Source organism: Homo sapiens, chromosome 19 (assembly GCF_000001405.40).
Source record: "Homo sapiens chromosome 19, GRCh38.p14 Primary Assembly".
Classification (NCBI taxonomy): domain Eukaryota; kingdom Metazoa; phylum Chordata; class Mammalia; order Primates; family Hominidae; genus Homo; species Homo sapiens.
The window spans coordinates 19,734,643-19,755,388 of record NC_000019.10 but is presented as its reverse complement, the minus strand read 5'-3'; the positions used below and the strand labels follow the sequence as shown (position 1 = coordinate 19,755,388).

Genomic DNA, 20,746 nt, shown 5'->3' with positions numbered 1-20,746 from the left:
CAGTGGAGGCCTGGCAGTGGAAGCCTCATCCGTGGGTCCTGGACAGTGAGGACTGGTCACTGGAGGTCTGATTGGGGGTTTTGTGAGTATAGCCCAGTCAGTGGCGGCCTAGAAGTGGAGGCCTCATCAGGGGGTCCTGGCTAGTGGGGTCTAGTCAGTGGTGGTCTGGGGTCCTGGTAAGTTGAGGCCTCATCAATTGAGGCCTGGTCAGTGGGGCCTGATCATTGGGGTCCTGGCTAGTGGGGCCTGGTCAGTAAAGTTCTGGGTCATTGGGGTCCCGGTTAATGGGTCAGTAAAGGTCTGGTTATTAAAGACCTGGCCAGTCAGAACTTCATCAGTTAAGGACCTGGTCAGTTGGGACCTGGGCAGGTGGAACCTTGTCAGTTAAGGACATGGTCAGTTGGGACCTCATCAGTGAAGGAAGTGGTCAGTTGGAATCTTGTCAGTTGGGCGCAGTCAGCCTGGCAGCAAAAGCCTCATCCGTGGGTTCTGGATAGTGAGGCCTGGTCACTGGAGGCCTGGCCGTGGAACCTGGTCAGTGAGGGTCTGGTCACTGGGCTCATGGGTAGTGGGGCCTGGTCAGTAAAGGCCTGGTCATTAAGGACCTGGTCAATCAGAACCTCATCAGATGGGGCCCAGTCAGTGGAGTCCTGGTCAGTGAGGCCTGGCTAATGGGCCTCGTAAGTTGGGTCCCAGTCAGTGGAGACCTGGTCAGTTGGAGGCTTGTCAGGGGACCAGGTTGGTGGGGCCTAGTCAGTGAAACCTGGACACTGGGGACATGATCAACTGGGATCTTGTCAGTGAGGACCTGTTCAGTGGGGTCCTGGTTAGTAGGGGCTGGTCAGTAAAGGTCTGGTCACTAAGGACCTGGTCAGTTGGAATCTCATCAGTTAAGGACCTGGTCAGTGAGGGCCTCCTCAGTTGGGCCCAATCAGTGGGGGCCTGGCAGTAGAAGCCTCATGAGTGTGTCCTGGATAGTGAGGCCTGGTCACTTGAGGCCTTACAGTGAGACCTAGTCAGTGAGGGTCTGGTCACTGGATACTGAGCTGTGGGGCCTGGTCAGTAAAGTCTGGTCAGTAAAAACATGGTCAGTTGGAACCCTGTTAGTTGGTCCCTGTCGGTGGGGCCCTTGTCAGTTGGGCCCAGTCAGTGGAGGTCTCTCTGGTCAGTGGGTTCTTGGTAAGTCGGGCCTCATCTCTCGAGGCCTGGTCAGTGTGGACCTGGTCAGTGGAAGCCTCGGCAGTGGGGGCCTTGTCAGTTGGGACAGTTAGTGGGGGTCTGGTGACTTGGGACCTGGTTAGTGGGGGCTTGGTAATTGGGGTCCTGGGTAGTGGGGCCTAGTCAATAAGTGACCTAGTCTGGTCACTAAGGACCTGGTCAGTCAGAATCTCATCAGTTGGAGCCCAGTGAGTGAGGGCCTGGTCAGTGGGTCTTGGTTATTGGGGCCTAGTCTGTAGATGTCTGGTCAGTGGGGTCCTGGTAACTCAGAGTCTCATCTATGGGGACCTGGTCAGTGGGGACCTGGCCAGTGGGACCTGGTCAACGAGGGTTTTGTCCATTAAACCTAATCATCAGGGCCTGGTCAGCTGAGACATAGTCATTGTGGCCTAGTCAGTGGGGGCCTGACAGTGGGGGCCTGTTCTATGTCAGCAGCGCCTGCTCAGTGATGGGCCTGGTCACTGGGGCCTAGTCCTTTTGGGCCTGGTCAGTGGAAACATGATCAGTGGGGACCTGATCATGGATGATCTGGTTAGGACTGACCTACTCAGCGAACACCTTTCAGCAGGTTCTTGTCAGCAGAAACCTGGTCAGAGGGTGCCTGGCCAGTAGGGCCTAGTTCTTAGAGTCTGGCAGTGGGACCTAGTCGGTGAAAACCTGGCCAGAATATCTGGTCAGTGGGACTTGGATGTGAGGGCCTAGTCAGTGCGGGGAATAGACACTGGGGGACTGTTCAGTCAGGAGGGACGTGGCCCAAGGGGACATGATGACTGGAAGCCTGGACAGTGGAGGCATAACCAGCAAAGACATTACCAGTCAAAGTCTCATTCATGAGGCCTAGTTAGTGGAGTCCGGGCAGCGAGGGCCTTGTCATGAAGACCTAGTCAGTGGGGTCTTGTGCCTGGTCAGTGCGAACCTGGTTTCCAGGAGCTTGGTTAGTAAGTAACTCATCAGCGGGGACCTGGTCGGTGCAGCTCTGGCCACTGGCTGACTGATGATTGGACCCAATCAGTGGGGGCCTGGCTTGGCTGGGGGGTGGAGCAGCTGCCTAGTCAGCCGGGGCCTAGTCACGGGGAGCCCAGTCAGTAAGGCCTGGTCAGTGGGGCCTCATCAGGGGGGGACTTTTCAGTGGGGTCCTGGTCATCAGGGCCCATTCAGTGAGGGCCAGGTCATGGCAGAGGCCCAGTGCATGGGGCCCTGGTCAGCAGGGGCCTGGTCAGTTGGACCCAGTCATCCCAGGACTGGTCCTCAGGGGCCACTCTGACTTCACGGGCTCCCCTGACCGTGCCAGTCCTCCAGCCTATAGCCAATGGTGTCCTTTATATCTCTCCCGGCACAGGCCCAGGACATGGAGATGCCCGATGCTGGGAGGAGGCACAGACAGCAGGAAGGAGAGAAGGAAGGAACTTCCATAGTATGGATGCCTACGAAGTTACAACACGTGGTTCCATCGCCATGTTCTCTGTTTATTTCCCACATAATTCTCTATTCTAAACTGGCCTCAGTTGAGCACAAAACCATCCTTGTACTACCACAAATAGTTGGCCATGGCTCTTTGATAGCAGTTTTTATTCTGCTGTGGAAATTATCCTTGAACTGGAAAAAGTCCCCAATCCAACATCCAGTCACTCAACACTCTCATCTTTATAAAGAGCTGCTTTCAAATTCTACATCGATTTTTGGAAAAATATGTATTGCTCTGGTAAAAAGTGCTGCATCTATGATCTCAAACCTCTCCCTCGAATTGGATGGAGATGGTGAATTTCAGCCAAAGTGGCCAAAGAACTCGTGTCCCACGCTCCTGAACGCCATCAGCCCCCGCACCTCCATCATTCCTCCTCCCACGAGTCTCCTGCTCCCCGTGACTTTGGTAAGAGCTCCTCTGTGAACGTGGAGGATGTCTGGGAATTTGATGCGTTGCTGCTTGGACAGCAGTAACAGGTCCGAGACAGAATCCAGGTCCTGTCTGGGCCAATCTGGGAAGAGCTTGACGATGGTATTGTAGGCACCTCCGGTGAAGGTTGATGGGCTGGTTCAGGCCCACCCAGAAGGCCTGCTGGGCCCACTCCAAAGCCTGGCTGAGGCCGCGGGAGGGCTGGCCCCCTGCCGATGCTCCTTCTCAAAGCCCCTCACCTGCTTGCCGTGAACTCCATGCCCTGTGGCTGAGCAGCAGCGCCGTCATCCACCTTCTTGAGAAAGCATATGAAGCTGTCAATCATGCTCTCCACCTCCTGCAGGTCGAGGGCAGTGGTGGTGCAGTGCTCAGGGTCAGGAACGAGCTGGCACCCACCATGTCACCTTTCTCGCACCACCCACCTCCCATGACCAGGCCACGTATCCAGTGTTCGTCTTCGATACCCACATCCACTCCCCCAAGTGATGCCCACCTTCTCGCTGACCTGCTCTGCTTGGATCGGAGGCAGTTTTCTTATTTTCTTTCCTCAAGAGGTGCTGTGCCATACAGAAGGCCTTCCTCTTGCCTTGTTTCCAGGCCTTCTCTCGGTGCTGCTGAGGCACATCAGGAAGTGCTGGAGGACGTGGCACTGCGCCAGCACTGGGCGGCCGGCCGTGTAGCTCATCCCGCAGATCGTGCTCTACCTGTGCTTGGAGATGAAGTCCTCCTGGAAGCAGCTCGTGGCCCACTTCTCAGGTAGGTGGGGCACAGACATAGCCAGGAATGTCACCAGACACGCATCCAGCCAGTCCAAGTGCTTGTTGCGCCGTGCACTGGGACCTGCCTGTGCGTGGTCACCAGCTTGCAGGAGAGGACGCTATTCATGCCCTTGAACTTGTTCTACTGAGCGGTGTCGCTGGTAGTGCACTGGAAGGAGTAGGGGTTCTCCTGCCACTTGAGGCCATAGAGCCACAGAGCCACGCACAGCTTGTCCCCGTCCTTCACAGAGCCCAACGCCTCGCCAAGCACAAGGCCTCCCTGCCTGACTTGACAGGTGGGGAAGCGGTTGAGACTGCGCCTCATGGTGGCCAAGCTGTTGCCACCACGGGGGCTCAGGGAGCCACTGAGGACCAGGTGTGAACCGCCACTAGGCTCATCCACCATCACGGAGCTGCCATCCCACTTGTCGTCCTAGGCATCATCACTTCATCACTGCCCTGACTGTCCTGGTTGCCACGAAAGAGCTGCTGAGGCCACGGCTGTCGGGCACGCCTGCCGTCTGAAGCCTGCACCGGCTGCTGAAAGGTATTCAGTGGTGGCACGTGCTGCGGCTGTAGCACCGGCTGGAAAGTGTCAGGAAGGGGTCTCAAGGAGGTGGGCAGCATACCGGGCATGGCCTCGAAGCCTCCTGACAGCATGTTGGCAGCGTGGCTGAGATGCTGGGGCCACCATCACCTGCCAGTCCCAGCTTGGAGTCATAGATCACCTGCACGGCACAGATGAGGCTGGGAAGAGGCCACAGTCACTGTAGCCATGGACGCTCTTGAGCAGCCCTTGATGTCCTGCTCCCGCACAGGCTCAGCACCTCGTGTTCCTGCAGCAAGTTCTTGCCGGGGTTCTCTGACCTGAAATGGTACAACAACCGGGTGAGGTGTGCCATGTCCCCTGCGTGGCCATCGGTGCTGCAGCTAAAGGCCCATGGCACCCCGGTGCCCTCCCCTACCAAGCAGGGCTGGGGTTGAGGCCGGGCCCCTCTGGACCTAGGACTTGTGCCCTGGGAGGGGACTCTGTCCAACAAGTCAAATCAGAGGCCACAGGGCATGCTCCTGGCTGGCCAGGGCTGGGAGGACACCACGTTCACCCCTCCCTCTGGCAGCCTGAAAGGGACCAGCTTCCCTGTTGAGAGGGACTTCATAAGGCCCAGGAGCCATCTGGGGCTGCAGAGCAACTGGCTGGGAGCTGCCCTGGCTCCTTCCATGCCATGCTAGTCATTGCCCACCAAGAGGGGTCCGATGCAAGTGCCCCCATGCAAGGGACTTATCTCTGGACCTGCCTCTCAGTTCTCACGGGGCCCAGCAGGGCCTGGTGTTGTGGCCAAGATGGGGTTGCAGGGCTGGGCCCCACTGATGGTCCTGGGGCTGTGTAGGGTGGATGTGGAAGGGACGGAGCACAGCATCCCTGTTCAAAATTGCACAATGGGAACCACGGGCCTCTGACAGCCAAGTCTCTGGGCAGCTTCGGGAGGGAGTTCAGAAAATGCATGGGTCCATTCTGAACCCTCAGGATCCCCAGAGAGCAACCTGCTGCCCTGAGCTTTCTGGAAGCTCCTTCGTGCCCCTGGGCCTCAGTCTTGGAGACTGCCAGCCAGGTCAGGGTGGGAGAGGACCAGGGTTGCATTCCGGGGTAGGGGGCTGGCTGCATGGACCCCTGGAGCTAAGCTGGTAGGCAGGGGCGGGCCAGCCCATCTCCCTTGCAGAGGGGCTCAATGCCAGGGTATGCTCACAGAGGCCTGGGTGCCAAGGACCCTCGATTGGGTTTGGCTGAAAAAATAGCAGATGCGAGCGGTCAGCTTCTCCTCCAAGTCCATTAAGTCCTCACAAGGCTGGGCCCCACAGACCTGGGTCTCTGGTGTCCTCAGCATCCCTGTGTGGCTTCTTGAGTCTGACTCTGAGGACACCCCTGCAGGCTGCTGATCACAGAGCAAGAGGTGTGTGGATCCCTCAGGGCACGGGGAGCTGTTGGGGCACCTCACGTCACTCCTGGGGCTGTGGCTTAGGATTCAGGCTGGCTCCAGACTTCCTCCTTCACCTCCTCATCCCAGGGCTGTGTGGCCTGGGTAGCAGCCCTAATTCAGAACCAGGTGGGAGAGGCCTTGGCTGTCACCTAGCCCCCTTGCCACCTCACACAAGACACTATCTCCACAGTGGGTGAGATGGTCCCAGGCACGGGGCCCCCTTTGCCCTCCAGGACCGTCCACTCCATGCCTGGACGGGACCATTCCCACACCTGCACCTGGCTGAACTCTTGGATCTGGCTCTGGCCAGGGCTCCTATCCGTGTCCTCTCCCCAAGTCCTCTGGGTCAGTGACACTGATTCTCTTTTTCCCCTGGCTCAAGGCTTATTGCCCTGACGTCCTTGGAGGGGGATTCTGGAGTGAGCGGCCCCTGCTCCTCTCAGCATCTGTCGATGTTGGGATGGTGGTTAGGGAGCTCGCACAGAGGAGAGAGGATGTAAAAAGCATAGGGGGCGTTGAGGGTTCTTTCTCCAGTCCCTGCCTGTCTGAGCAGCATGTCCAGTACATATGCGCTCAGCACCTGCCCAGAAGCTGCTTAGTGTAGAGGAGGAAAAGACAGAAAAAGAGGTGCAGGAGGAAGGGCCAGGTAGTAGGGCTGGTGGGGCCGGGGCCCTCTCCACTATCGAATGCTCCAGAGGATGACTTAGGAGAGGGGACCTGGTGCTGGAGCCCACGAGGGGGTGGCAGATCCCAGCACTGGCTCATCAGTTCCCCCACAAAGGCCTCAAAGTGCCTGAGCACTGTGGCATCCTCCAGGGCCCAGGCCTGGGAGCACCGGTCCTGAAAGAACTCCCTCCCACAGGGTGGACTGGGACAGGTTCATGGTCGCTCAAGGGACAGGAAGGGCATCAGGCCGGGAGGGGTTCCTGGAAGGGGTTGGTGCCCACACCCCGTTTCCAACACTGCCACCTCCCACTGAGCAGCACTGGGTCCTTCTGTGGCCAACCCTGGGGTCCAGCTGTGCACAGGAGGCCATGGCCGGGGGAGGCCCGGGCAGGGAGGTTCCCACCACACTCCCACCTTTCACATGGATCACTCATTTCAAGGGTGGGCTCAGGGTCTGGGAGAACCCACTATGCCCTGCCCAGCCCTACAGGCCAGGCCTGGCCATCCCTGGCCATCCCTTCTGATGAGAGCAGAAGGTCATGGGGACAGAGGCCTCAGGCCAGCCAGGCTGTGTCCCATGAGTTCCCCAGGAAACCTCAGACACAGGGGGACTTGCTTCTGTGAACCTCGAAGGCCGTGGGCGCCATTGCCATTATTGCATGCTTCATCTTCAGGCTGAACCCGAAGGGGATCTGTGGGGACAGCAGGTGTGAGAGGACCTGGCCCTTCCAGGCTGGGAGCTGGTGGCCCAAGCAGGGCCCACTGTGGTTTCAGTCCCCTGGAGTGCCAGGGACCCGTCCCCATGGGATGAGCTGCCACCATGAGGCTGGGTCAGAAGAGGTCTTGCAGCTCCTCATGGAGGGGACTCATCTCAGCAGGGATGTAGCTCCTGGAGGGAGGGGCTCCCCAGGGCCTTGGACTTCCCCGGGCTCTTCCAAGTGGAGACCTGGCCCGTTCTGCCCTGGCCTCTGCTGTGGGATGCCCCCTCTCAGGTGTTGCCTGGCTTGTGTGCCCTGTGGGGACCCGCCTGTGCCTCCTGCTGGGTGGGGGTGAGCCAGGTCCTCCTGGGGAAGCCGGACCCCTGGGCTGGGGGAGCCAAGCAGTGCGGGGCAGGAGGGTCCCTGGACTGGGAGCTTCCAGTGCCTCATTACCCCCATTTAAAGCACCAGAGGAGCCAGTGTAAACGTGGAATTCTGGGCATGCAGCTCATCCTTGTCCTGATGGGAGGAGCAGAGGTGCTCAGGGCCCCTTGGGCTGCCCCCAAAACATCCCTATTTCAGGCCCCTCTGCAGCCCTTCCCTGAGGGACAGAACACTGGGCGGTCCCCAGGGCACCCCGCCACACCTGCCCCCCGCATGGACCTTCGGTGGACACACTTCCCTTAGCCCAGCTCAGCCAGAGCCCAGTCCCCGTCCCAGAGCCTCTGCCTGCTCCAGAGCAGAAAAAGGAAACCCAACTACAATCCCATGGAGAACCCCACATCCCAGGTCTGGCCCCTGCTGGGACTCAACCTCTCACCCCCTATGAGGAGGAGCCAGAACCTCCCTCTACCCCTGATCCCCAAGCCTCTGGGGAAGAGCCAAGGGGACCGTCTCCTCACCAAGTCCTCATAAGCTTCGGGGATGATGTCCATAACACGTGTCCCGGGTGGGCTTAGAGTCTCTGGAGCCTGGCACAATTTGAACTGCAGAATCCTGAGAGCCCACAACCTATCACAAAATCAAAGCCTGCTCCCAAGACGTGGAGCCGTCAGCTGGAAGAGCTGGCACTGGCAGGGGTCCTCAGACCCCCAGGTCTCCCACCCTCCCATCTGGCCCCTCCAGCATGCAGCCTTGGCCCAGGGGAGGAGGGGCAGGAATGTCCCCGGGATCCTGGCGGGAGGAGCTGCCCAGTGGGGGCCCTGAGCTGAGGTATTAGGAGGAGAGGCCTGCCGTGGAGGCCAAGAGGGAGGAACGTGGCAGGCAGGGGCCAGCAGGGTGAGCGGGGTGGGTGCTGGGGGTGCATTACTGTCTTCTGGACATTCATAGGGTCAGGCTAGGGGACATGCGATGAGGAAGCATTACTGTCTGGGTTTCATCTGCCTGTCTGAGGGTGACGAGGACGGCTAGGAGCACAGTCAGCCACCAGGAGGCAGGAGGACCCTCAGGGAGGTGAGCGTTGCCTGCGCAAAGTCGGGGTTGGAGGACCAAGCCTCCGGGATACAGAAGGTAGCCACAGGGAGGCTGTGATGCCCTCTGCTGATGGGGATGAGAGGCATCTAACTCAGGGTGTGGGGGTCCCTATCCAGTCCCAGGCTCCTGCATGACCCACAGCAGGCAACATCCTAGAGGCTCCAAACGAGCTGGGGACACAAGGAAGGCTCCTTGCCTGGAAGCTGAGATCACCTAGCCAGGGTGACCATCCCCAGGCCTGGCTGTGTGAGTCCCCATGGGCAGCTGTCCACCTACCCTGCAAGGAGTGCCTCTCACCAGCCAGCAGCTGGGCCACCACTCAGAAGGTATCTTTTCTGGGCAGATAGAGGAGAGTGGCAGCAATGCAGCTCATGGCCCTGCAGTAGCCCAGCTCCTGCAAGAGTCAGAGTCACCATGGAAGGATGTCACCTGGGAGGGCTGAGGTCACCTGAGAGGACTGATGTCATTGAGGAGGCCTGCCACAGGCCCTGTGGGATTTGGGGTGCAGCCTGTTCACCCCTCTCCTGACACTGGGTGTCAGGACTGAGCAAGTCACGCACGTCTCAGTTGACAAGGAGTCCAGAGAGATTCCTGTAGCGAGTGTCCAAGCCCACATGGCCCGAGAGGACATAGGAGAGGACCGTGGATGTCCCTCCCCCTCAGATGCCAGGCCAGGGAGGCCACCGTGCCAGGCTTGGGACAGCATCTGTGAGCTAGGCTGGCCAACAGGGCGGGCTGGGGGCCCACCGCATACAGGGTCCTGGGAAGACCCAGGGGCTGCCTGCCAGGTATGAGAGGGAGGCTGGGTCCAGACCCTGTGTGTGCAGCCCATGGAGCCAGCTCAGTGGCTGTCCCTCCAGGAGTGATCTGGAAACTGGGGGCACAGTGGGAGCAGGCACTTCAGGAACCCCCTCCCTGTCTGCTGCGCTCCAGTGGGGTTCGGGCGGAGGGGACATTGGATCCCTGCCAGTTTTCCAATGAAGGAACAGCTTCCGCGGGATCCACACTCATTTCGTGACAAGAGCGACGTCCATCGGGTACTTTGGCAACTTGTCAAAAATGCCTCCTGGGAGGACCACTTTGGGACACTGACCAGCTCCTGGACCTTGGGGCAAGCCCAGGAGGAGGGTGTCATTTCTTGTTCTGAGATTGGGGGTCAGGCTCAGGTCAGACCAGGAGTCTGTGCCTGAGCCCTCTCCATCTCAGCATGACCCCTCTGAGACCCTCCCTCCCTGCCTCGCTTGAATGTTCAAGCCAACAGCGAGCTTGAGTCCTACCGGCTGCGTCTTGGTAGGTGTCAGATACTGAATTTTAAAGAAGCAATGACACCCCCTACCCAAGACACCCGTGCCTATGAATATGGGAATGTGACCCGCGAATATTGTTGCCTTGGAATACTCATGGGATTAGGTGCAATATGCCACCAGGACAAGAAAGACATGCTGCAGCCTAGGAAAGAGAGAAAAGAGGGTTTGGGTTCACACGGATGCTGTTTTGTTCTCTCTATCGTGTTCCAACAAGGAATCCAATTCCAGGTCCAGATGATGCGCAGAATAAGCAGTGAGCTCTTCAGGGCCACTGAGTTTTATGAAATGTTTTGGTGAAAGTGGATTTTACTATTCCCGGGTTGAAGATTGTCTTGGTGGCCTTCAACTGTGAGTGACGGTGAATCAAGCTGTGGACGTGGCATGCAGGTTTTACATGGCCATCAGTTTTCAAATCAGTGGGATCAGTCTCTGAGAATCTTCTGGGACATGTGGCACGAGTCCACCGAGTTTCGTGCAGAGCCGCCCAACGGGTTCCCAAAGGGGCTGTGCCCTGTCGCATTCCCACCTGGCAGGGACAAAGGTCCCCGGGACCGCACATCGTCTCGGCATTTGGTGTCGTCAGTGTGGCTTGGGAAGGCTCCCGAGCCCCTCATCCTGCCGCCCTCCCGTAGGTTACTGAACTTTCCACCATTTCTCATGATTTTGTTCATTGCTCTCTGTCTCCTCGGGAGCCACCTGGGCTCCGGCCCCACATATCCCAGCCAGGCCCAGGGCTTGCAACCAGGAAGGCACTCAGTCTATTGTGCTAGCTGCTCCCTGGGCCTGGAAAGCTTTTGGTAGCTCTGTCACCCCTCCTGGGTGACCCCTGCCTCTGCTCTGGTGAAGCTCCCATCCCTCTGGTTCACGCCATCTCCCCAGGGCTCTCCAGCCCTGCAAGCCTTAATTGACACTGCATTGTGGCCAAAACATCATGTGGTTTCTTAGTGTATGGCTGACATCCAGGTTGATCTGGTGGAAGTTCCAGGGGGGACCTCTTTCCCTTCATCTTCATGACCTCCAGGGCAGGGCCAGGAAGAGGAAGCAGCCTCTGAACAGAGAGAAGACTGGCTGCCCCACACGGCAGTCGTCCACAGGCAGCCCGGAAGGAAGGAAGGAAAGAAGGAAAGGAAAGGAAAGGAAAGGAAAGGAAAGGAAAGGAAAGGAAAGGAAAGGAAAGGAAAGGAAAGGAAAGGAAAGGAAAGGAAAGGAAAGGAAAGGAAAAAGGAAAGGAAAGGAAAGGAAAAAGGAAAGGAAAAAGGAAAGGAAAGGACAGGAGGAAGGAAGGAAGGAAGGAAGGTTGGTTTCCTTCTGCAGAAAGCTCCTCCTCTGGCTTGGTTCCTTACAATCCAACTAGTCCTGGAGCTCAGCTCACCTTTGGTGCTGGCATCACCGTCTCTGCCCAGGATGTCCGCCTGACCATGCCCCCTCCACCTTCAACCCAGGCTCTGCGTTCCCTCCAGCTGGAGGCTTGGGCTCTCAACACAGCCTGGCCTGTTTGTCCTCCTCTGGCTGACTTCGGAAGGGTCATACCTCGTATTTCCACCAGTTCTCGGCCTTCACCTTCTCGACATCCAGGAAGTGTGACCACACTTGGCCCCACATCTATGGAGAATGCCTTTATACACGCTGTCTATCAACTTGGGACAGAACACTCTGAAGAAACAGGGTCTGGGGCAGCCCCAGGGAGGATCGGAGCCTGAGGATTCTGGAAGTCTCCAGTCTCTGACTTGTTGGTTTTTCAGGGGATGTGCAGTTTACCTAGGACCAGGCCTCCCTCCCACGATTCAGAGTTATGAATTCTCATCTTGACCTATTCCTTCCTTCGGTTTGCCAGGGGGTGTCCCTATCCCTGAGATAGTCCTGGCTCATGCCCTGGCATCACACTGTCTCCAGCAAGTTGAGGTTTGCAGGGACAAACAGGAAAGCTGGTGACCAGACCTGCTGTCCAGGGTGAGGACAGTGTGTCACCCACCCTCTGAGAGGCAGGCAGTGCCAGGACCCAGCCATGGGAGCCCATCCCCCTGACTCTGTAGAGAGCGGTCACGGGGGCCCTCCCTCCCCATGTCACCTCCTTGCCACTCCTATATCCCTGCCCGTCTTGAAGCATCTGGAGCCATTTCTCTGTGCCTCTCATCTCCTGACGTCTTTGCTGTCAACTATGACCAGAAGTTAGCGGAGCTACCAAGGCTTCCTGAAGCAGCCTTTGGATGCTGTATCCTGGGCTCCGAGGCCCTGACGGGACTGAACCACAAAAAGAACCAGGAAAGGGCAGGCCCCGGGGACTGAGACCCTCTGACTGAACAGGCGTCTGTGACCTGGCCTCACGACCTGGGACATGCCATCCTCAGGCCACAGACACTGGACTTTGGTCAAGTACTAGCCTCCAGGTGGGGTCCTGGTGCAAGCAGACAGCAACCCCCGAGCCGTGACTGCGGTTCTCAGTTTGGAGTTTGGTCAAACAACCAATGGGGACAGAGTCTTGGGGTCAGGTCCAGCAGGAACTGCCACCCCTCCCAGGGACAGCCTGTCTCTCCCACTCACCATCGCTGGTGCCCACGGGCTGCTGACCACCTGCCAAGTCCTCCTGTCCCTGGACCAGCCTCTCAGGCAGCAGGTCTTACCTTTGCCTCCAGGGCACTGATCGATGGCAGCTTTGTCTCACTGTAAGGCAACCCAGACAGAGCTGAGGGCCTGTGCTGGGCCGGGAGCTGTCCTCCTCCTTCCCTAGCAGTCCTAGGGAAGGACCAGCCGTGTCTCTCCCCACCCCACCCCTGGTCTTAGCCCAGGAGACACACAGGGAAGGTAGGAAGAGGGTCTCCCTGTGGGCTGACGCCTGTGAAGGGACAGGACCTGGGAGAAGAGGGGTGTGTGGGTGGGGCAGGGACCACTAGGGCCCTGTAGAGCATGGGCTTGGGCTACACAACAGGGCTGCCCCTCCTGGGCTAGAGGCAGTGCCCTCTGCAGGAGCTGAGAAAGTCCAGTCCTGAGAAAGGACGTGTATGGCCCAGGGTGGGTGACTGGGCCCCAAAAGCAGTCCTCGAGGGAGTGACCACATTACCAGGCCAGGATCCTGAGACCTGCCCAGTGCACTGAGGGTGCACCTGGGGCCTGTCCCACCTGATGTCCCCAAGTGCCCCGCAAGGTCTGATCTCTCAGCCTCCATCTACCTCCCCCGGGGGGTGGGGGCTTGCTTTGAGCTGTCCCCACCTTTCTGGATAGAACTAATGTACTTCTTACATATATTGATTGATGTCTCATGTCTCCTTAAAATGTATAAAAGCAAGCTGTGGGCCAGGCGCAGTGGCTCACGCCTGTAATCCCAGCACTGTGGGAGGCCGAGGCTGGTGGATCACGAGGTCAGGAGATCGAGACCATCCTGGCTAACACATAGAAACTCCATCTCTACTAAAAAGTACAAAAAATTAGCCAGGCGTGGTGGCGGGCGCCTGTAGTCCCAGCTACCTGGGAGGCTGAGGCAGGACAATGGTGTGAACCCGGGAGGTGGAGCTTGCAGTGAGCCGAGATCGCACCACTGCACTCCAGCCTGGGCGACAGAGCGAGATGCCGTCTCAAAAAAAAAAAAAAATTATCTGGGCATGGTGGTGGGTGCCTGTAATCCCAGCCTTTCAGGAGGCTGAGGCATGAGAATTGCTTGAGTCTGGGAGGCAGAGGTTGCAGTGAACTGAGATCGCGCCACTGCACTCCAGCCCGGGTGATAGTGTGAGACGCCGTCTCAAAAAAAAAAAAAAAAAAGCAAGCTGTGTCCCAACCACCTTGGGCACATGTCGTCAGGACTTCCTGAGACCATCACGGGTGCATCCTCAACCTTGGCAAAATAAACTTTCTAAATTAACTGAGACCTGTCACGGATTTTCTGGGTTCACCTCTCAAAGGGTAAAGAGTCATGCAAATTAAGACAAGTGGCACTGGTTCCCTGACCAGGAATCGAACCTGGGCTGAAGTGGTAAAGGCCCAGCATATTAGCCCCTGTACCACAGGGTGGAGTATAAGTTCAATAAGAATCCAAAGCAGGCAGTTTGAGCATTTAAAGGACTTTGACAGGGGAGGAGTTTCTACGCTAGAAAGGAGATTGGCACGAGCTGGGGAGATGTGTCCTGCCTCAGTGAGGCCTTTCTAAAAAAAAAAAAAACCCATCCCTGGGTGGTGAGGGTGGGAACAGAGGACTCACTGCCGAATCCCGAGGTGATCGGTGACTTTGTAGCTGTCAATATCCTCAGGCCCCACGTCTGCAGGTGCCTCTGCTCAGCATCCCTGTGACCCAGAGGGGATTCAGGGTGAGGGGGCCGAGGTGAGGGGTGTGGGGGCATGAAGTTCCCAGCAGCTGGTCCTGGCCCTGCATCCGGAGGGAGCCCAGGACACTCCGACCAGGATACAGCTGGAGATGGGTGGCCTCGCCTCCCTCGAGGGAACAGCCCGACCCGGACCTGCTCACACTTGTCAATGATGTCCCGCTCCTGCGCGGGCAGGGCAGCTGTAATCCTTTTCCATGTCCATCCTGCGAGACAACATTGTCCAAAGGCCACACTGCACCTGGGTGCTACAGAGAACACCCAAACCGCTTCCACCCAACTCTGAGACGCCGCCGGCCAGGTGAACCCCATGCCACCACCGCTCCGGGTGAAAAGGGGCCAGATCTAGGGTCCCCATGCCTGCTGGGGTCTCTGGAGTCCCTGCCCCAGCCAGAGGTGGGCTTCTTCCTGAGGATTTGAGAACAGGGGGACCTGGACACAGAGGCCCATTGTCCCCAAATGCCCTAAATCAGGCACATAAGGGAGGAACGGTGTCCATCTGCTGAGGGTGAGGGGCCTGTGGTGCGCTATTTCAGACACCTGCAGGTAGACTGGGGTCAGGGATCAGAGAGCTCCATATGCTCAGCCTCCTGGGATCACGCAGGGACCATGAAGATGCCCAGTTTCTTACAGGGAACAAGACACCTCGTGACTGCTCCGTTTCACCCCCATCTCCACTCCCTCTGGCCAGTGAAGCCGCTTCAAGAATAACATCAGCCAAACGGGAGGGTGCTTGGTTTGGGGTCAATGCAGCCTCTCTGCTCATGAAGATGTCTCAGGTGAAGGGACAGTGGATCCCAAGTTCTGAGCTGTCAATACAGGAAGGACCCTCGTGTTCCGGGGTCACTGAGAAAGAATGAGAACTCTGATGACTTGGTCCTGGAGAACTCCAGAGGGTCCCTTCCCATGAACATTCGGAACAAAGAAAGGGCGAGGCCCGTAAAGGAACAGAGAAAGGGCCTTGTGCGGAAGAGCCCCAGTTCCCGGTGAAGAGGAGGAACGATCATCACCCTCCAACCAACCCTCCGGGGCGCCATCATTTTCCACAACTGCCCAAGGACAGAGGGCTCCCCACCCCACTCCCAGACAAGAGATCCCATATGTCCAGTGGGTCCCACAGCGACCCCCACTGACTGCACCCAAAGTCTGGGTTGATGAGATCTTCTCTTGCAGGGACCCACCTTAGGACACAGACCTGGATGGAAGACCACCCTCCACCCCACCCACAGGGGCTCTTCCAAGGCCAGGCTCTGTCCTATTGCTGTCAAAAATTTTGGAAAGATTTGGGATCGAGGGCATAAGGGGCACCGCGTAAGGGAGTGAGTCCCACACAGCACAGGGCAGGGGTGAGAGCATGGCCCAGGGTCACGTCTGGGTTCCTGGACCAGTGACCGCCCTTATAACCTCAGATGTCTCACCTGTCGAATGGGTATACTTGGGGACAGCACCCACCCCCTGGAGTCACCACGAGGATGAACAAGACAACCGTGTACATGGTCAGCACAGAACAAGCACTGGTGAGTGCCCAGGAATGACCCTCTTTGGCAGCTGCCCAGAGACCAGCATCACCCACCAGGCAGTGACTGTCCCCAAGTCAGCAGGGAAGGAAGAGAGCAGGTCATGCTCTTGAGTCTGATCTGGCAGCTGTTCGGAGATGTGCCTCTTGCCTAGAAAAGAGCCCTACGTGCCCAGCACTCACAGACACTGGCGTGCCTCTGACTGCTCCGTGACACAGAGGCAGGCAGGTGGGCATTTGGCATGGTGATATTTTGGGGTCACAGCACCCACAAAGGGCCGAGAGTCAGCGTCCTCCACCCCCTGCACTGTCAACCTGAGTATGTGTGATGTGTCTGTGCATGTGAGCATCCCGTGTGGGTGAACATCTGTGTGAGTGTGTGTGTCACACTCACGTGCACACCCACGTCCTCATCACTGTCACCCTAGGGCCCATGGTCAGCATCAGAGCATCCATGGGTGCTCCTCAGTCTCTGCCCTCTCCATATGGGTCTGTCCTGGGGATGCAGACAGAGTAGGGGCAGAGGGCTGAAGGCAGAGGGCAGAGAGCTGAGGGCAGAGAGCTGAGGGCAGAGGGCTGAGGGCAGAGGGCTGAAGGCAGAGGGCAGAGAGCTGGCCCCTCCCTTGGGGGACTCAGGTAGTATGTAAAGTGCTAGGTCTAAGGGGCAGGCCTGGATTCAACTCACCTTCTCACCTCCTCCTCCCAGTAGACCTCTGGGGGTCTGTGACTCAGGGATGGAGGCAAGGAGGCATCAGGGACAAACTGTTTACCTGAGGTCACCCAGCAGCCAGCTGACCAGTTCCCACTGACCCAGTCCCTGCTGACCAGGTACCACTGACCAGTTCCCCAATGACAAGGCCCCCACTGACCAGGCCTTGGATGACCAAGTCCCTGTTAACCAATCCTCCCAGACCAGGTTCCTATTTTTTTGTTTGTTTGTTTTTGGACTTTACTTTTTTTTTTTTTTTTTTTTTTGAGGCAGGGCTCACTCTGTCGCCCAGGCTGGAGTGCAGTGGCACAATCTTGGCTCACTGCAGAGTTGATCTCCTGGGCTCAAGCAATTCTCCCACCTCCACCTCCTGAGTAGCTGGGACTATAGGTGCACACCACCACCCCCAGCTACTTTTTGTATTTTTAGTAGAGAGGGGGTTTCACTGTGTTGCCCAGGGTGGTATAGAACTCCTGAGCTCAAGCGATCCTCCCGCTTAGGCCTCCCAAAGTGCTGGGATTACAGGCATGAGCCACCACACCCATCCCCTGACCAGGTTCCTAATGACAAGGCCCCCGCTGATCAGACCACTGACACGTAGTGCCCAAAGTCCTCTACTAATGCCCCCCGCCCAAACTCAGCCCACAGACCCTCCCCTTCCTGTGGCTGCGCCCGCAGGCCAGCCCCTGGGGGTCTTCTCAGGACAGGGCTCCTCATCCAGGACACAGGGAGGGACGGTCAGCCTCAGGCTCCAGGTGCCCCCACAAGGCTCTCTGGGCCCATCTCCAAGGGGACAGTGAGGGGTCCTGGCACCACCTGGACATGTCATCTGGCCCTATTCCTGAGCCTTGGAGCCAGAGGAACAGAGGGATGTTTGTCAGGACAGGCTCCCCCTTCTGCTGGGCCTTCCAGGGCTCTTCCAGCAGAGCCTGGATCTAGAGACACAGTAGAGGCAGCATGGTAGCCAGCCCAGGAGCCCCCAGGCTGGGCTGAGGACCACATACAGAGACTCTCCACAGGCAGCCAGGAGACTCTTTGCTAGTTTCACCACACCTGAGCAGATGGGCAGCAGTTCTTCCCACTGGGGCCTAGTGAAGGTGCGTGGGGGGAGGGTGCTCTCCACCCCTGCTTCTAAGAAAAATGGCTAGTTCCAGGGCTGGAGCAGAGAAAATACAAGATAAGCTTGGAACATCTCATGTTCATCATCTTATGTTAGGCCAGAAAGTAGGGAAGTGCTCAAAGGAAACCAGTGACAAATCAAAAAAACATTAAGTCAGCTTGACATGACCACCACATCGGGGGGCATTTGAGCAGCAAATTAACATGCTTTCCTTCCCTTCTCCCCTCTTTGTTGGTTTTGTTTTGTTTTAGTTCTTTATCCACGTTGAAGAAATGAAAGAATAAGAAAGCCATCATTTGGGGCCAGGTAAAGTGGCTCATGCCTATAATCCCAGAACTTTGGGAGGCGGAGGCGGGGGGATCACTTGAGGCCAGGAGTTTGAGACTAGCCTGGCCAACATAGCAAGACCCCATCTCTACAAAAATGAAAAAATTAGCCAGGCGTGGGAGCATCGGCCTGTGGCCCCAGCTACTCAGGAGGCTGAGGGAGGAGGACCGCTTGAGGCGAGGTTGCGATGAGCAACGATCACAATGCTGCACTCCAGCCCGGGTGACAGAGGGAGACCCTTTCTAAAAAAAAAAAAAAAACAATAAAATAAAAAAAGAGTGAAAGAAGAAAGAAGAATTGGAAGAAGTGGGGAGATAATCTCACACTTCAAAAAGATAAAACCACTACTGGGCATTTGGCTGAGAATATAAAATGAAGTAGAGACAAGAGAAATTATATAGATCACATAACTGATATAATAAACAAATTTATTAAACCCTGTCTTTACCTTATGTGTTATTAGCATAACTATTATGATAGTTTGATTTGAATCAAAATACAGAGTAGACAGGCATGGCCAAGGTGATACAAACAGGCCTATTTTTAGTTGAGAAGAAAGGCAACTCAGCCGGGCGCGGTGGCTCACACCTATAATCCCAACACTTTGGGAGGCCGAAGCGGGCGGATCATCTGAGGTCAGGGGTTCGAGACCAGCCTGGCCCACATGGTGAAACCTCGTCTCTACTAAAAATACAAAAATTAGCTGGGCATGGTGGTGCGTGGCTGTAATCCCAGCTATTAGGGAGGCTGAGGCAGGAGAATCACTTGAACCGGGGAGGTGGAGGTTGCAGTGAGCTGAGATTGCAGCACTACACTCCAGCCTGGGCAACAGAGTGAGATTCCGTCTCAAAAAAAAAGAAAGGCAACTCAATATTCTGCTGAGACACAATATTCCATCACGTAAAAAGTTAAAGGCTTGGGAATATTATTTTAGCTTTGAGGTATCTGTATTACCACATTTAGAAAGAGTTCCTAAATTGGCTGAGTATGGTGGCTCACACCTGTACTGTATCCCAGCACTTTGGGAGGCTGAGGCGCGTGGATCACTTGAGGCCAGGAGTTCAAGACCAGCCTAGGCAACATGGTGAAACTCCATCTCTACTAAAAATACAAAAATTACAGGCGTGGTGGTGCATGCCTGTAATCCCAGCTACTCGGGAGGCTGAGGCAGGAGAATCGCTTGAACCTGGGAGGCAGAGGTTGCAGTGAGCCGAGATCGCACCACTGCTCTCCAGCCTGGGCAACAGAGCAAGACTCTGCCTCAAGAAAAAAAAAAAAAAGACAATACAAAAATGTTTTATTTAAACATTTTTTAAAGAGTTCCTAAATCAGCCAGGCGCGATGGCTCGTGCCTGTAATCCCAGCACTTTGGGAGGCCTTGGCGGGAGGATCACTTGAGGTCAGGAGTTCGAGACCAGCCTGGCCAACAGAGGGAAACCCCGTCTCTACTAAAAATACAAAAATAAGCTAGGCGTGGTGGCGCGTGCCTGTGATCCCAGCTACTCGGGAAGCTGAGGCAGGAGAATTGCTTAAACCCGGGAGGTGGAGGTTGCAGTGAGCCAAGATCGCACCACTGCACTCCAGCCTGGGCAACAGAGCGAGACTCTGTCAAAAAAGAAAAAAAAAAAAAAGGGAGAGAGAGAAATTGGTGAGGAGGGCATGACCAGCAGTTCAGTAATGGCAGAGAGAAAGGCAAACAGGGAAAAGGGCTAAAGTTGGAGAGCTAGCCTTACCTCACTCTAAGAGTTGGCTAACCTCACTCTAAGTTTCAGCTCAGGCGTGATCTCAGAGTGTGACCCTTCTCAAAAAATAAAACAATAAAACAATAAATAACATATCAATGCCTAGTATAGAATGAATCTTTTGTGTGTGTGTGTGAGACAGGGTCTTGCTCTGTCACGCAGGCTGGAGTGCAGTGGCACAATCATGGCTCACTGCAGCCTCAACCTCCCAGCCCCCAGTGATTCTCCTGCCTCTGCCTCCTGAGTAGCTGGGACTACAGGTGTGCACCACCACACTCAACTAATTGTTTTATTTTTTGTAGAGACAGGGTCTTGGAATGTTGGCCTGGGCTGGTCTCAAACTTCTGGCCTCAAGCGATCCTCGTGCCTCAGCCTCCCAAAGTACTGGGATTACAAGCATGAACCACCATGCCCAGCAAAATTGATAACTTTTGTATTTCAAAGGACACCACCAAAAAAGTGAGAACACCTTTTGGGATCCTTGTGCACTGTTGTTGGGAATGGAAAATGCTATGGCTGCTAGGAAAAAGAGTATGGCCATTCCTTAAATAAATAATAAATACAAAGTAATCATATGATCCAGGAAGTCTGCTTCTGAGCATACCCTAAAAAACTGAAAGCAGCAACCCACATATTTGTTCACCCATGTTCATAGACATATTATTTACCATAGCCAAAGGCAGAAGCAACCTAGGTGTCCAGGAAAGGATAAATAAGGCCGGGCGAGGTGGCTCATGCGGTAATCCCAGCACTTTGGGAGGCCAAGGTGGGCAGATCTCTTGACCCCAGGAGTTTGAGACCAGCCTGGGCAACATGGCGAAACCCCATCTCTGCTAAAATTACAAAAATTAGCTGGGCATAGTGGCACATGCCTGTAACCCCAGCTACTCAGGAGGCTGAGGCACAAGGATTGCTTGAGCCCAGGAGGTGGAGTGCAGTGAGCCGAGATCACGCCATTGCACTCCAGTCTGAGCAACAGAGCAAGACTGTCTCAAAAAAAAAAAAAGAAAGAAAGATAAATAGATCCAGAAA

At 56.2% G+C, this 20,746-nt stretch overlaps 1 long non-coding RNA gene and 1 pseudogene across 1 annotated transcript, besides 1 other annotated feature; one reads left to right on the top strand and one right to left on the bottom strand.

The window, feature by feature from the left end:
• The first annotated feature begins 1,737 nt into the window (after positions 1–1,737).
• Positions 1,738–10,160, top strand: LOC101060187 (uncharacterized). The gene is made up of 3 exons (XR_007067367.1): positions 1,738–1,786; positions 2,729–3,088; positions 3,710–10,160. It is a non-coding gene; the product is annotated as an uncharacterized LOC101060187 (long non-coding RNA).
• On the bottom strand, positions 3,685–4,210 carry LOC100533625 (sorting nexin 18 pseudogene; annotated as a pseudogene).
• Positions 7,288–7,789: an enhancer, noted in NCBI's record as "H3K4me1 hESC enhancer chr19:19858409-19858910 (GRCh37/hg19 assembly coordinates)". NCBI's record gives its function as "activates a minimal SCP1, AML or CMV promoter by ChIP-STARR-seq in naive H9 embryonic stem cells {active_cell/tissue: H9 hESC(naive)}" and the evidence as "EXISTENCE:reporter gene assay evidence [ECO:0000049][PMID:30033119]".
• Positions 10,161–20,746: the final 10,586 nt, after the last annotated feature.